This window comes from Homo sapiens, chromosome 6 (assembly GCF_000001405.40).
Source record: "Homo sapiens chromosome 6, GRCh38.p14 Primary Assembly".
Classification (NCBI taxonomy): domain Eukaryota; kingdom Metazoa; phylum Chordata; class Mammalia; order Primates; family Hominidae; genus Homo; species Homo sapiens.
In genome coordinates this window covers 108,230,795-108,244,847 of record NC_000006.12, presented here as the reverse complement: position 1 = coordinate 108,244,847, position 14,053 = coordinate 108,230,795, and the positions used below count along the sequence as shown (strand labels likewise).

The following is a 14,053-nucleotide window of genomic DNA, read 5'->3' as shown; positions in this document are numbered from 1 at the left end:
GCAACATGGCGAAACCCCGTCTCTACTGAAAACACAAAAAATTAGCTGGGCATGGTGGTGCATGCCTGTAGTCCCAGCTACTGGGAAAGCTGAGACAGAATTTCTTGAACCCACGAGGTGGAAGTTGCAGTGAGCTGAGATCATGCCACTGCACTCCCGCCTGGCAACAACAGAGCAAAAAAAAAAAAAAAAAAAAAAAACTCCTTACTTATATTCTTATAGACTATATTATTTTAAATGTGGTTATTCCAGAGATTGATGGTGGTGATGTTTGCATAACAATATGGATTTACTTAATGCCACAGAACTCTGTACACTTAAACATGCTTAAAATAATTTTATATTATGTATATTTTACCACAGTAATAAATATGGAAACAAACAGTATGGAGGGGCCAGGTACAGTGGCTATCTCCTGTAATGCCAGCACTTTGGAAGGCCAAAGCAGGAGGATCACTTGAGGTCAAGAGTTAAAAACCAGTCTGGGTAACATAGTGAGACCCTCCTCTCTACAAAAAATAAAAATTAGCTAGGTATGGTGGCATGCACCTATAGTCCCAGCTACTCGGGAGACTGAGGTGGGAGGATTGTTTGAGCCCAGGAGGTCGAGGTTGCAGTAGGCCAGGATTGCACTGCTGCACTCCAGCCTGGGTGACAGAGTGAGACCCACCATCTCATAAAGAAGAAAAAAAAAGCGGGGGAGAACTGGAGAGGGCAGTTTCTTTCCCTTCAAACTATCAAAGCAAGGAAAAAAGTAGTTCTTTATGTCTTTTTGCCAAGAACTCTCAGTTCTTAGTCATCTATTGTGTTTTACAGTCTACTTTATCTGATACTAATATAGCCAGTCCAGTTTTCTTATGAGTATTTGCAGGGTATGTAATTTTCTGTCCTTTCACTTTTAACCTGTTTTGATTTTTGAGGCAGTCTCACTTTCTTACCCAGGCTGGGATGCAGTGGCATGATCTTGGCTCACTGCAACCTTCACCTCCCAGGTTCATGCGATTCTTGTGCCTCAGCCTTCCAAGTAGCTGGGATTACAGGCTCGTACCACCATGCCTGGCTGGTTTTTGTATTTGCAGTAGAGACGGAGATTCACCATGTTGACCAGGCTGGTCTCAAACTCTCGACCTCAGGTGATCCACCCCGCCCTCGGCTTCCTAAAATGCTGGGATTACAGGTGTCAGCCACCAAGCCTGGCTCTTCATGTGGATTTCATTTACTATCTGGTATCATTTTTTTCAGCCGGAAGGGCTTTCTTTAGTATTTCTTTTTTCTTTTTCTAAGGTTCCCATCAGATGGGTAATGTGCTGAAGTCATAACAAGGTTTGAAGGAGGCATGTCACACACATGAGCATGAAAACCCAATCATCATGCTTACAAACTACAGAAGGATTTCTTTAGCATTTCTTCTAAGTCAGGTCTGCTAACCATGAAGGCTTGTAGTTTTTTTGTTTTGTTTTGTTTTTTTGTCTGGGACTGTCTTATATTTTTATTTTTGAAGGATAGTCTTGTTAGATGTATTAGTTTTTTATTGCTGAATTAAAAATTACCACAATTGTAGCCCTCAGAACACCCCCAGCCAGGTGCAGTGGTTTGTGCCTATAGTCTCATCTACACAGGAGGCTAAGACAGGAGAATCACTTTAGCCCAGGAGTTTGAGGCAGCTGCAGTGTGCTGTGATCATGCCTGTAAATAGCCTGCACTCCAGCCTGGGAAATAAGCAAGACGCTGTCTCTTAAAAAAAGTAAAAATTTAAATAAGTAAATGGAGTTTTAAATTATTTTAAAAACACCACCAAATATCATCTCACAAGTTTCTGTAAGTGAGAAGTCTGAATATGGCTTGTCTGGACTTTTTGCTCAGGGTCTCACAATTGCCTACAATCAAGGAGGTTGGTCGGGGTTGTGGTTTCATCTGAGGCCCGGGAGTTCTCTTCCAGGCTTACATAGTTGTGGGCAGTATTAATTTTCTTGGAGCTGTAAGTTTAGAGTAGCCTTCCTCTTAAAGGCCAGTGGAAAAAATCTCTTTGATCTCAGGGAAGACTAAAGCCCCCTTTTAAGGGGCTCACCTAATTAAGTCAAGACTACTCACAAAACTTGGTGAAGTCAAAGTCAAACTGATTAGGGAGTTTAACATCTGTAAAATCCCTTCACCTTTGCCATGTAATGTAACCTAATTATGGAAGTGACATCCATTGCATTCATAGGCCTCACTCACATTCTAGGGGAGGTGTGTATGCCAAGGGGTGGCAATTTTAGGCACCATCTTGGAATTCAGCCTACCACGCTGGATAGGGAATTCTTTGTTGATTTTCTTTTTTTCTTTGAGCGCTCTGAATATGCTGTTGCTTCCTTGTCTCCATTGTTTCTGGTGAGAAGTCAGCTGTTAATCTTATTATGGGTCCCCTGTAGTGATGAGTAGATTTCTCTTGCCACTGTATTCAAGATTTTGCTTTTCTTTGGCTTTTTACTGTGATGTTTATTGGGTGGGAATCTCTTTGTGTTTATCCTACTTAGAGTTCATTGAGCTTCTTGGATGTATAGATTAAGGGTTTAGTCAAATTTTTTTAAGTTTTCAGCCATTATTTATTGTTTCTTTCTCTCATCGTGGGACTCCCATTACATGTGTGTTGATATGCTTGTTAGTATCCTACAGGTCCCTGATGCTCTGTTCATTCTTATTTTTTTCTTTCTTTCTGCTTTTCAGAATGGACAGTTTCTTGATGTGTCTTCAAGTTTGCTGATGCTTTTGTCTGCCAGTTTGAATCCACTGTTGATCCCCTTCAGTTAATTTTTCATTTCAGCTATTATACTTTTCAGCTGTAGAGGTCCAATTCAGTGTTTTTTAAATAATCTTTTTGTTGAGATTCTCTATTCCTTGAATCATTGTCATCATGCTGTCTTTCAGTTCTTTAAGCATGGTTTCCTTTAATTTGAACATATTGATAGCTGCTTGGAAATCCTGGACAGCTGAACAGCTGAACCACCCCAGAGACATTTTCTGACTTTTTATCCTCCTGTCTATGGCTCACACTTTCCAGTTTCTTTGCATGTCTCATAATTTTTTGTTAAACTGAACATTTTAGATAATACGTTGTAGAGACTCTGAGTTAGATTGCCTCCTGCCCCTCCCCAAAGGGGAGGTGGTGGTTGCTATTTATTTTTTTTAGGGACTTGCCCACATTAAGTCTGTAGTATGAGGTGGTGATAGCACGGATCAATTTTTTTTTTTTAAGCCAGGTTTTCTAAGGGTCACCCTGAGTCAGTTTGTCAGCTTATCTCAGTGGTCAGAAATGACTGGTCAAAGGTTATGCGTAGCTACTTGAGCCAGTGAGGCTTCAGCCTTTTTCTTTTTTTAAGAGACAGGATCTTGTTCTGTTGGCCAGGTTGGTCTTGAACTCCTGGCCTCAAGCAGTCCTCCCACCTTGGCCTCCCAAAGTACTAGGATTACAGACGTGAGCCACTGCACCTGACCAGCTTCTGCTTTTTGCCAGTGCAGGTTGGGGAACAAGTCAAAGTTCAGGCAGTTTACAAGTTCGCCCCAGCTTTTACTTCGTGCCGTCTTCTCATGTCCATGGCTCTCCCTTGTCTGTGAAAGGTCTCATTCAGCCATGGATGTTTAGATAACTAGGGTTCTCTCCAGCTGAGCATGCATACAGCTTTGTGTAAGCACACATACTTTTTTTTTTTTTTTTTTTTTTTTTTGAGACGGAGTCTTGCTCTATCGCTCAGGCTCGAGTGCAGTGGCGCGCAATCGTGGTTCACTGCAACCTCCACCTCCCAGGTTCAAGTGATTCTCTTGTCTCAGACTCCCAAGTAGCTGGGATTACAGGCATGTACCCCTATGCCCAGCTAATTTTTTGTATTTTTAGTAGAGACAGGGTTTCACCGTGTTGGCCAGGGTGGTCTCGAACTCCTGACCTCGTGATCCACCCGCCTCAGCCTCCCAAAGTGCTAGGATTATAGGCGTGAGCCACTGCGCCCGACATCACACAGATTTTCAGACCTCCACAGATACTTGGGAGTTAATCAAGGCCCCACCATGGCTATGTAATTCTTCTGGTAAGTCTGCTGGTTCATTGCTTGCCCCCAGTATTGCAACCTTGGGTTGCCGCAATATTAGCCTTCCCCACTGTTTGCTGCCAATGTTGCTGTTGGTTTCAACAATAGTCCTGCATTTGGGACTTCTATATTCTACTCCTGACCAGTGGCCCCCCTCCAGCAGTGATGGTGTTGGTTTTCACAGCTTGCCACATCCTGGTAGAACTACCATTGATAGAGCTGGTGGAGCATGGTAACAATAGCCCTAGGTTAAAACACACAGACTTCTGGCCGGGCATGGTGGCTCATGCCTGTAATCCCAACACTTTGGGAGGCCAGGGCGTGTGGATCACCTGAGGTCAGGATTTTGAGACCAGCCTTGCTAACATGGTGAAACTCCATATCTACTAAAAATACAAAAATTAGCCAGGCGTGGTGGTGGGTGCCGGTAATCCCAGCTACTTGGGAAGCTGAGGCAGGAGAATTGCTTGAACCAGTGAGGCAGAGGTTACAGTGAGCCGAGGTCGCACCACTGCACTCCAGCCTGGGCAACAAGAGCGAGACTCCTTCTCAAAAACAAAAACAAAAACAAACCCACACACAGACTTCTGCTCTTCATAACTGAGTTGAGTAGTTTTTCTTGAATGATTACTTTTCAATTTGTTATACACCTGTGCCCACTTTCCTGAGTTCTGATATAGTGGTTTGACATGTTTGTCTAGTTTTTTCATTGAATTTTGGAGAGACGCTCTGTTGAGCTCACTCTACTATTCCAGCAGTTCCCCCTTTACCTTTTTACTTTATACCTTTCTTTTAGGTTCTCATATTTTTAAGAGAAATGGTCTTATTCATATTATGTTTTTCTTCACATTATTATGCTTTTACTCTTAATTTATAGGTGCTCAGAAACACTTTTTATGCAGTGTTTAAATGTTTTTAGAAGCTTCTTAATCAAATATTTCCAGGCCCCTTGAACATAGTAGTTGTTGAGATATTCATTAAATGCTCATTTAGTAGAGTTTTAAAGGTTTATTTAATATCTGCTTTGGGTCAAGTACTATAACCATAGTGTGACTTTAGAGCATGGACTTTGAAGTTGAACGTGTGTAAGAATCCTCTCTCTGTTAATGGACATGTGACCTTGAACAAGTTACTTAATTCTTCTCTTTTGAATGTCTTCGGCCATAAAATAAAACTTCAGAGGAGTAAATGTGACTTAAGGCATAATATTTGCCCTACATTAAGTATTCAGTAAGTGATAACTTGTGAGAATGTGTGAGAAGAATGTATAATAATAGTTTCTACTTAATTATTAAGGTAAGTGACAGTATTTTCTTTCTTTTTCTTTTAAGAGACAGGGTCTTGCTATATTGCCCAGGCTTGTCTTGAACTCTTGGCCTCAAGCAGTGCTCCTGAGTAGCTGGGATTACAAACATGAGCCACTGCACCTGGCTCATTTTAAAGATGGTAAAACTCAGATTAGAGAAGGAAAGTAATTTGGCATGATCGTACTGTTAATGAGTTCCAGAAAGAGGAGTCGAACCCGGGTCTGCTTGACTAATTCATTTTTCCCTGCTACTTCCAGGAATCAGAAAAGGTGTCAAGGGCTAGGCACAGTGGCTCACGCCTGTAATCCCAGCACTTTGGGAGGCTGAGGCGGGTGGATCACCTGAGGTCAGGAGTTCGAGAACAGCCTGGCCAATGTGGCGAAACCCCGTCTCTACTAAAAATACAAAAAAATTAGCTGGGTGTGGGGGCACATGCATGTAATTCCAGCTACTCGGGAGGCTGACATAGGAAAATCGCTTGAACCTAGGAGGTGGAGGTTTGAGTGAACCGAGATTGCACATGGCACTCCAGCCTGGGTGACCATGTGAGACTCTGTCTCCAAAAAAAAAAAAAGAAAGAAAAGGTGTCACAAGTTTGTGGTTAGCTCCTATCATTGGTACAAAGCAAATATTGAATTATACTTACATATGTTTGTTTGCATTTTCCCCCCACCCCATGCAACATGTCAAGAACTTCCACTACAAAAGTGATATACCAATTATTTGAACTTTGTGTGTTTCTGTAAGATACAGCCTTAGTGAATAAAACCTGGAATTTCTTAGGTGAGCGGAAAAATAAGAGGCTTTAAACTCTTCATCCACAAATACAAGCATGAAAACTTGGACACTTTTTAAAAAAATTTTCTTTTTTATGGCGGTTGAGGTGGAGGTTTCACTGTGTTGCCTAGGCTGCCCTCAAATTCCTGGGCTCAAAGGATCCGCCTACCTCAGGCTCCCTAGTAGCTGGGACTACAGGCACATGCCACCGCACCTGGCTCTCATGAACACTTTTGATATGTAGTGGTGTAAGTGGCTGTAAAAAGTATACTTAGAAAATTTTTGTTAGCTTTAAAGCCTCTGAGCCTAAAACATTGTATATACATGTTTTTATCACAATGTACTCCAAAGATTATGTACTCTCTTACAGAAACCTCCCCAGTGGTATTCCATCTCTTTAATTCTCTTTCCTGACCTATGTTTGTCTGTTCTGTGACACCTACTCTGCTTGGGTATCCTCTTATAATTCTTAACTGTGTCATAAAATCAGCTAATGCAGGGACAATGTTCATGTACTTAGTTCATGGTAGATTCTTTTTGGAGGAGAGGGGTATCCATTATAGTTGATTCTTTTTTTGTTTGTTTTTTTTTTTTTTTTTTTGAGACAGGATCTCACTTTGTTGCCCAGGCTGGAGTGCAGTGGTGCCATCTCAGCTTACTTCATCTTCATCCTTGACCTCCTGGGCTCAGGTGATCTCCCACTTCAGCCTCCCGAGTAGCTGAGACTACAGGCGCGTGCCACCATGCCGGGCTAATTTTGTATTTTTAGTGAAGATAGGGTTTTGCTATGTTGCCAAGGCTGGTCTCAAACTCCTGAGTTCAAGTGATCAGCCCACCTCAGCCTTCCAAGGTGCTGGGATTACAGACACAAGCCACTACACCCAGCCCATCATGGTAGATTCTTTTTTTTTTTGAAATAGAGTCTCACTCTTGTCCCTCAGGCTGGAGTGCAGTGCCACGATCTCAGCTCACTGCAATCTCCGCCTCCCTGGTTCACGTGATTCTCCTGCCTCAGCCTCCTGAGTAGCTGGATTACAGGCGCTCACCACCATGCCTGGCTAATTTTTGTATTTTTAGTAGAGGTGGGGCTTCACCATGTTAGCCAGGCTGGTCTCGAGCTCTTGACTTTAGGTGATCGATCCGCCTGCCTCGGCCTCCCAAAGTGCTGAGATTACAGGCGTGAGCCACCGCACCTGGCCTCATGGTAGATTCTTAATGCCTTTTATGTTGTACACTTATTAGCATTCTAAGTAACATCATTTTAATGGCTAATGAGCTGCCATAATCAATATTTATAGATATCATGGTTTAAAATCTTACCATGCTTCCAAGTAAGATTTGAGGGCTAGAGATAAAGGATCTGGAATGATATCCTTTTCTTACAAACTCTGCAACTCAGAGTAGAGGGGAAGGTATTGGAAGGTGGAGAGAAAGGTGGCCAAAGTACTTAGAAATCAATTTTAAATTATGAGGAAAAGAACCAGAATATTCTGCTCTCCAGCTCTACCTCAACCACTTATTATACCTAACAGTTAAAGAAGATATAGTAGCCAGAAAATATTTTAAATTGTGCTAAGCTGATTATGTATTGAAACTTTTGATGGCAAGTTGCAGCTTCTCTTAGCCGTGGTTTATTTAGGGGATTCTTAGACAAAGAGTTACTTTCCATTTCTAATAAAAAGATTTTTATGTTAAGTGATTTGAGTACTGTCAGACTGTTAGAACAATAAACATTCTTTGTGGAGCTTTATGAAAGGAGTAAAGTATTGTAATGGCACTACTGTCAATCTGCAAATTTAAAGCATATGCGTGTGTATAGTGTTTAATGTCATGATGTCTAGTTGCTGTTATAGCTAATCACTCTGACTGGAAGAGTTTATTAATATATGTATCACTCATGTGTTAGAGAATTTAGACTTATTAAACATTCATTTTCATGTTTTTTATAGTTTTCCAAGTAATACTTCAAGCTTTGAAGAAACAGCTTAGTTTTGTTCTTTTATAATATAGGTGGAAGCCGGGCACGGTGGCTCACGCCTGTAATCCCAGCACTTTGGGAGGCCGAGGCGGGCGGATCACGAGGTCAGGAGATCGAGACCATCCCGGCTAAAAAAAAACGGTGAAACCCCGTCTCTACTAAAAATACAAAAAATTAGCCGGGCGTAGTGGCGGGCGCCTGTAGTCCCAGCTACTCGGGAGGCTGAGGCAGGAGAATGGCGTGAACCCAGGAGGCGGAGCTTGCAGTGAGCCGAGATCCCGCCACTGCACTCCAGCCTGGGCGACAGAGCGAGACTCCGTCTCAAAAAAAAAAAAAAAAAAAAAAATAATAATAATAATATAGGTGGAAACTGTTTTATATATATATATATAAAGAGAGGTAGAGAGAGAGACAGGGTCTTGCTTGTTGGCCAGGTTGGTATTGAACTCCTGGCTTCAAGCAATCATCCTGCTTCAGCCTCCCAAAGTCCTGGGATTACAGGCACGAACCATCGTGCCCGGCCAAAACTGTTTCATATGACTATTCTTAGAGGTTTATTAAGTTATTTATTGTAGAGAGCAACTCAGTCTTCAATTACAGTTTTTATTTAGAATCTTACCTTTCTTTAGCATAGAAAAACTTTAGCTGATTTTATCAGATTTCTAAATTATGAAGGAATACTTTCCTTGCTGAATAATTGAGAATTAATTGACTTTTCTGTATTATTGAGGAACTTCAACTACTCAGAATATAATCAGAAGCTAATTAAGGAAGTAGAAAAGAACTAAACAGCGAAGAGTTGAATAAATAACAAGTCTATATACTTTTTCTTTTTTTGAGGTAGAGTCTCACTCTGTCGCCGAGGCTGGAGTGCAGTGCGTGGTATCAGCTCACTGCAACCTCCGCTTTCATGTGATTCTTGTGCCTCAGCCTCCCAAGTAGCTGGGACTACAGGCATGCACCACCATGCCCGGCTAATTTTTGTATTTTTAGTAGAGACGAGGTTTTACCATATTGGGCAGGCTAGTCGTGATCTCCTGACCTCAAGTGATTCACCCACCTCGGCATCCCAACATGCTGGGATTACAGGTGTGAGCCACCGTGCCTGGCCCAAGTCTATGTACTTTTGAGTTACCAAGTTTTTAGAGATGAAATACTGTCTTCTCATGATCTGCATCTTGTTTAGCATAACTCTACCAAAGTCAGGTTATTGCTTCAGTTGATTATTGCTATGTAAAAACCCTAAAAGTTGGTGACCGAAAACAGTTACAATTAAACATTCACTTCATTACAGTTCTACAGTTTGGTCAGGTCTTGAAGTCATGGCTTGTCTCTGTTCCACTTGATATCTGTGGGGCCACTTGACTGGGACTGGAGGATTTATTTTTGAGATAACTCGGTCATATGGCTGGCTGCCAGCTGGGATATCAGATGGAGATGTAGATCAGGTCCTCAGTTCTCCTTCATGGGGAGAGTTAGACTTCTCACAGAATAACGGTGACAGGATCGCAAGAGAGAATGTCTTTATGAACAAATGTTCCAAGAGGACAGGCCCCAATTCACAAATGTTTGATCAAAGGCAGTCACATGGCCAAGCCAATGTGAGAGAGGATACAAAAAGATATTTAAATATTGAGTGTCATGGTTTGTTGTAGGCTACCAAAGTAGCTACTACTACTGCAGTGTTCCTTCTCATTCTATAGCAAAGTAGCCTTTCTGGAGGACAACTCGAAGACTTAACATTTATAGTCTTTGGCCTAGTAATTTCACCTTTAGGGTTTATTCTAAGGAAAATATTTAAACTCCCTGGATCTGTATCAAGGCTTCATTTAGTTTTCATCCATTGCATTTTGCCTAGAGTTAGATAGCTGGTTAATGCAGGAATCCAGATTAAAGCCAGATTTTCTAGTTCCAGAACTGTGTGCTTCATCATTGTACTATACAGCCTCTCACCCAGGGATGTCTGTATATAATCATGTTAATGATATGAGAAACTGATAATATATTTAATAAAAATAAGATTTGTATATATAAAAATCTAAAAGGCTATATACTGAAATGGAGTATCTACAAGTCAATATGTATGTTTTTTAATTGTAAGGATATCTTTTATAAGTCTACCATGCAAACTCAATATATTCACATGTATATGTTTTGTTTTGTTTTGTTTTTTTGAGACAGAGCCTCACTCTGTTGCCCAGGCTAGAGTGCAGTGGTGCAATTTTGGCTCACCGCAACCTCCGCCTCTTGGGTTCAAGCGATTCTCCTGCCTCAGCCTCCGAGTAGCTGGAACTACAGGCACATGCCTCCACGCCTGGCTAATTTTTATGCTTTTGGTAGAAACGGGTTTTGCCATATTGGCCAGGCTGGTCTTGAACTCCTGACCTCAGGTGATCCACCCGCCTCGGCCTCCCAAAGTGCTGGGATTACAGGCGTGAGCCACTGCACCCAGCTGTCACATGTATATGTTATATATATATATATATGTTTTTTATATATTTTAATTTTGCCTTGATTACTCAAATACTGGTCTCCACCCTTTCATTCAAACATCAAAGAGCTGTGTGATAAATTGCGGCTGTAAATGCTACATGTAATGAATCTTGGAAGAGTATTCCGCTCTCCCCTCCCCACCCCCTCTTTACACTGTAAATATAATGTAAATATAACCCTTGAGGAGGATGTCTTGAGATCCCTGTAGTCCATAGCTGCCTGATGCACCATATGTAGAAGCTTAGAAAATACGAGTACTTACTGAATAGAGCTTCTTAACCAATATTCTTTAACTGGCTTCCACATCACAGTTTTACTTATAATGACTTTACACTCCATTCTCACAGTATTATTCCAAATCACTACCCTTAAAGAGGTAAAATATTATCGCCCATATCTGTCCCAGCTAAGCTAAACCAGAATTACTTGGTGATTGTACAAATTCCCAAGTTCCTACCCTCTTTCACATTTATTAACTCTAGGGCAGCAGTTATTCGCTCTTTCAGCCAGGCTGGAGTGCACTGGAACAACCTTGGCTCACTGCAACCTCCGCCTCCCGGGCTCAAGCGATTCTCCCACCTCAGCCTCCCGAGTAGCTGGGATTACAGGCGTGTGCCACCATGCCCGGCTAATTTTTGTATTTTTAGTAGAGACAGGGTTTCACCGTGTTGGCCAGGCTGGTCTCGAACTCCTAGGGCAGCAGTTCTTGACCCTGGATGCACTTGAGAATCATTTGAAAATACTGATTTTCAGATTCCACCCTAGATCAGTTGCATGAGATTCTCTAGTTGGCGTCACTTGAGTGTGTTTCTTAGGATTGGACAAGTTGGGAAGACACCAGAAAATAGTTTTGCATTTTAAAGATTGTCCAAAAAAGGTGTTAGACTATTAATAGACAGTTTTATTTCAGCATAAGCCTGTAGGATTATGTAAATCTTCATGAATTGTTATGAATGAATTTTCCTTTAAAATAGAATTATTAATGCACAGTTTCATTAGAGATTACTCATTGAAAACCTTGTGTGAGCTCTCCAATGAGTCTTGTTGCTAATTCACAAATGAAGAATATGGACAATGTAGGAAAAGTATCTGGAATTCCTTGGTTTATGCATTTAAGCTAGTCTAGATAATTTATTCTCTACTGTTTTGGAAATTATACCATAAAGGATACTTCTTTTAAAATAAGGAGGAATTGTATCACTGGAAGGCATGTCCTTATTTTTTAAAGAAAGAAACTAAATACGTTGGCTTAGTGACAATCTACATTTCAAAGGTTCTCTGGACTAAAAGCTTATTCTTCATTTAAATGACTTCTTCTCAGCCTTATTAAGAGTTCATCTAGGTTATAAACCATATCTCCAGTTATTCATGCTGTTCCAGATTGGGTAAAACAGGTATCAAAAGTACTGAAGGGTGAAGCAATAGCTTAAGCACTTCTCAGTTTATCTTTTATCTCTAGATGTAGATATTTGGAGAAATGCAGCTGTTTAATGAGAACTGTAGTGGGGCATCCATTTACATCTCTTAGGATTGGTTGAATAGAGTATGGCCTATTGAATATACTTTTGATGTTGTTGCCAGTCTCTTTTCAAATGTACACGTGACACTATCTGAAGAAATACTAGAAACACCTAGTAAACATTTTTCTAATATCTATTGTTAAGCTATATTCAGGTGATCACATTTTGAGGCTTGGTTTTCTGCTTGGCTATCAGTGATAATCAGGTAACATATAGGGTATCTGTGAGCTGCTGACTTTAATAGGTCAGCCTGTGTAAGTGTATAAGACCTACCTTTTTGGAGACCAATAATGTGGTAGTTTCCTGTGCTTAGACTTGAAGGGAGCACTTGTTTTAGACCTCTATACCATGGTTTGAGAAATCTTTTCCTTAGTATGTAATATCCATTTGCATTCCTGATGATCTTACCCTGTGTGATTAGTAATACTTTTTGTGGAAAATGGCTGGTTTCTCTTTTATAAAAATAGTAGTTTAAGAGTATCCGGCATACACATATCTCTTTTAACATTTTATTGCTTTGCAGTTTTGTTCCTGGTATATTAGAACAAATAGACAACAACAAAATAACATTGAACAATTCAGGTTTTTAGTCTTGTTCTTTTCTAGTTCTTTGAATGTCCCAGGATCTTGTAATTATTTCATCACTTTTTCATAAGCCAAGCAAAATATATTCTCATCTTGCAAATGAAAAGCAAGATACCCAGCAGCTTGAGCATTACCCCGAATTTCTCCAGAAGAGTACAAATATCCAAGTAGACTATAAACCCTTGTTTAATTCTGTTTATTAAATCAACAAATTGAAAACATTCTGTACTTAATACATCGGTATATTCACACTGTATTTGGCAGGGAGTGGGGCTTTCCTTCAGTAAAGCAATCTCTCCTAATGGTTAAAGTTAGATAAATAACTTCACCTAAAAATGTGAATTCTCTAAGAAGCAGAGTTTATTTTGTGGTCTGATAGTTCTGTAAGTTCGAATTAGCTAGGCAAATTCTAAATGGCAATAAATTTTATTATGAAGGGCTGGTTCAGGAAAAAGGAATTAAAAGGTGGGGAAAAGATAACTATTGGAGGAATCTGACCTCTCCTTACCAAGTGACCCAGTAATGGGACAAACTGACATTATGTGCCTTCCGATGGAAAGCATCAACACTCCTGCCATTTAGGAACATTACTGCCAACAATGCAAAACAAAGCTGGTCATGAGGAAACAGACAAACCCAAATGTAGAATGTTGCTCTGAACTCTTTATTGTCAGTGTCTTGAATGACAACAAGACAGGGGGCGACTCTTCTAGATTAAAGGTGACTAAAGAAACAACCAGAGGGCTGAGTGCAGTGGCTCATGCCAGTAATCTCAGCACTTTGGGAGGTTGAGGCGGGTGGATCACGAGGTCAGGAGTTCAAGACCAGCCTGGCCAACATGGTGAAACCCCGTCTCTACTAAAGATACAAAAAATTAGCCGGGCGTGGTGGCGCGTGCCTGTAATCCCAGCTACTCGGAAGGCTGAGGCAGGAGGCGGAGGTTGCAGTGAGCCGACATCGCGCCATTGCACTCCAGCCTGAGTGACAAGGGAGACTGTGTCTCAAAAAAAAAAAAAACACCACCAGAGGTGGGAGGATCCCTCCAGCCCAAGTGCCTGTAGCGCGCTAGGATGTTGCCTCTGTGCTCCACCCTTGGCAACACAGGGAGACCCTCTTTTTTTGCCTGTCTTCTTTGATAATGTTGGTGATCTATTTTATAGTTTTCCAAAGAAATGTTACTAAGTAGTGGTAACAAATTAACTAGCATTTGGCAAATAACAATTAACAAAGGCATGTTTTGAGTGTGGAATAACATAGTTTTATGGACTCAGTGGATTCCAGGAAACCAACTTAACTTTTTTGAGATGCAGGTAATTACAGTTCTCTGCTCTT

At 40.9% G+C, this 14,053-nt stretch overlaps 1 protein-coding gene and 1 non-coding gene across 5 annotated transcripts in view; one reads left to right on the top strand and one right to left on the bottom strand.

Moving 5' to 3' along the window:
- SNX3 (sorting nexin 3) overlaps window positions 1-14,053 on the top strand; it is a 49,819-nt gene that overhangs the window by 16,193 nt on the left and 19,573 nt on the right. The gene's annotated exons all lie outside the window — the stretch shown is intronic.
- Window positions 1,290-1,393, bottom strand: LOC124901529 (small nucleolar RNA U13). The gene has a single exon (XR_007059960.1). It is a non-coding gene; the product is annotated as a small nucleolar RNA U13 (small nucleolar RNA).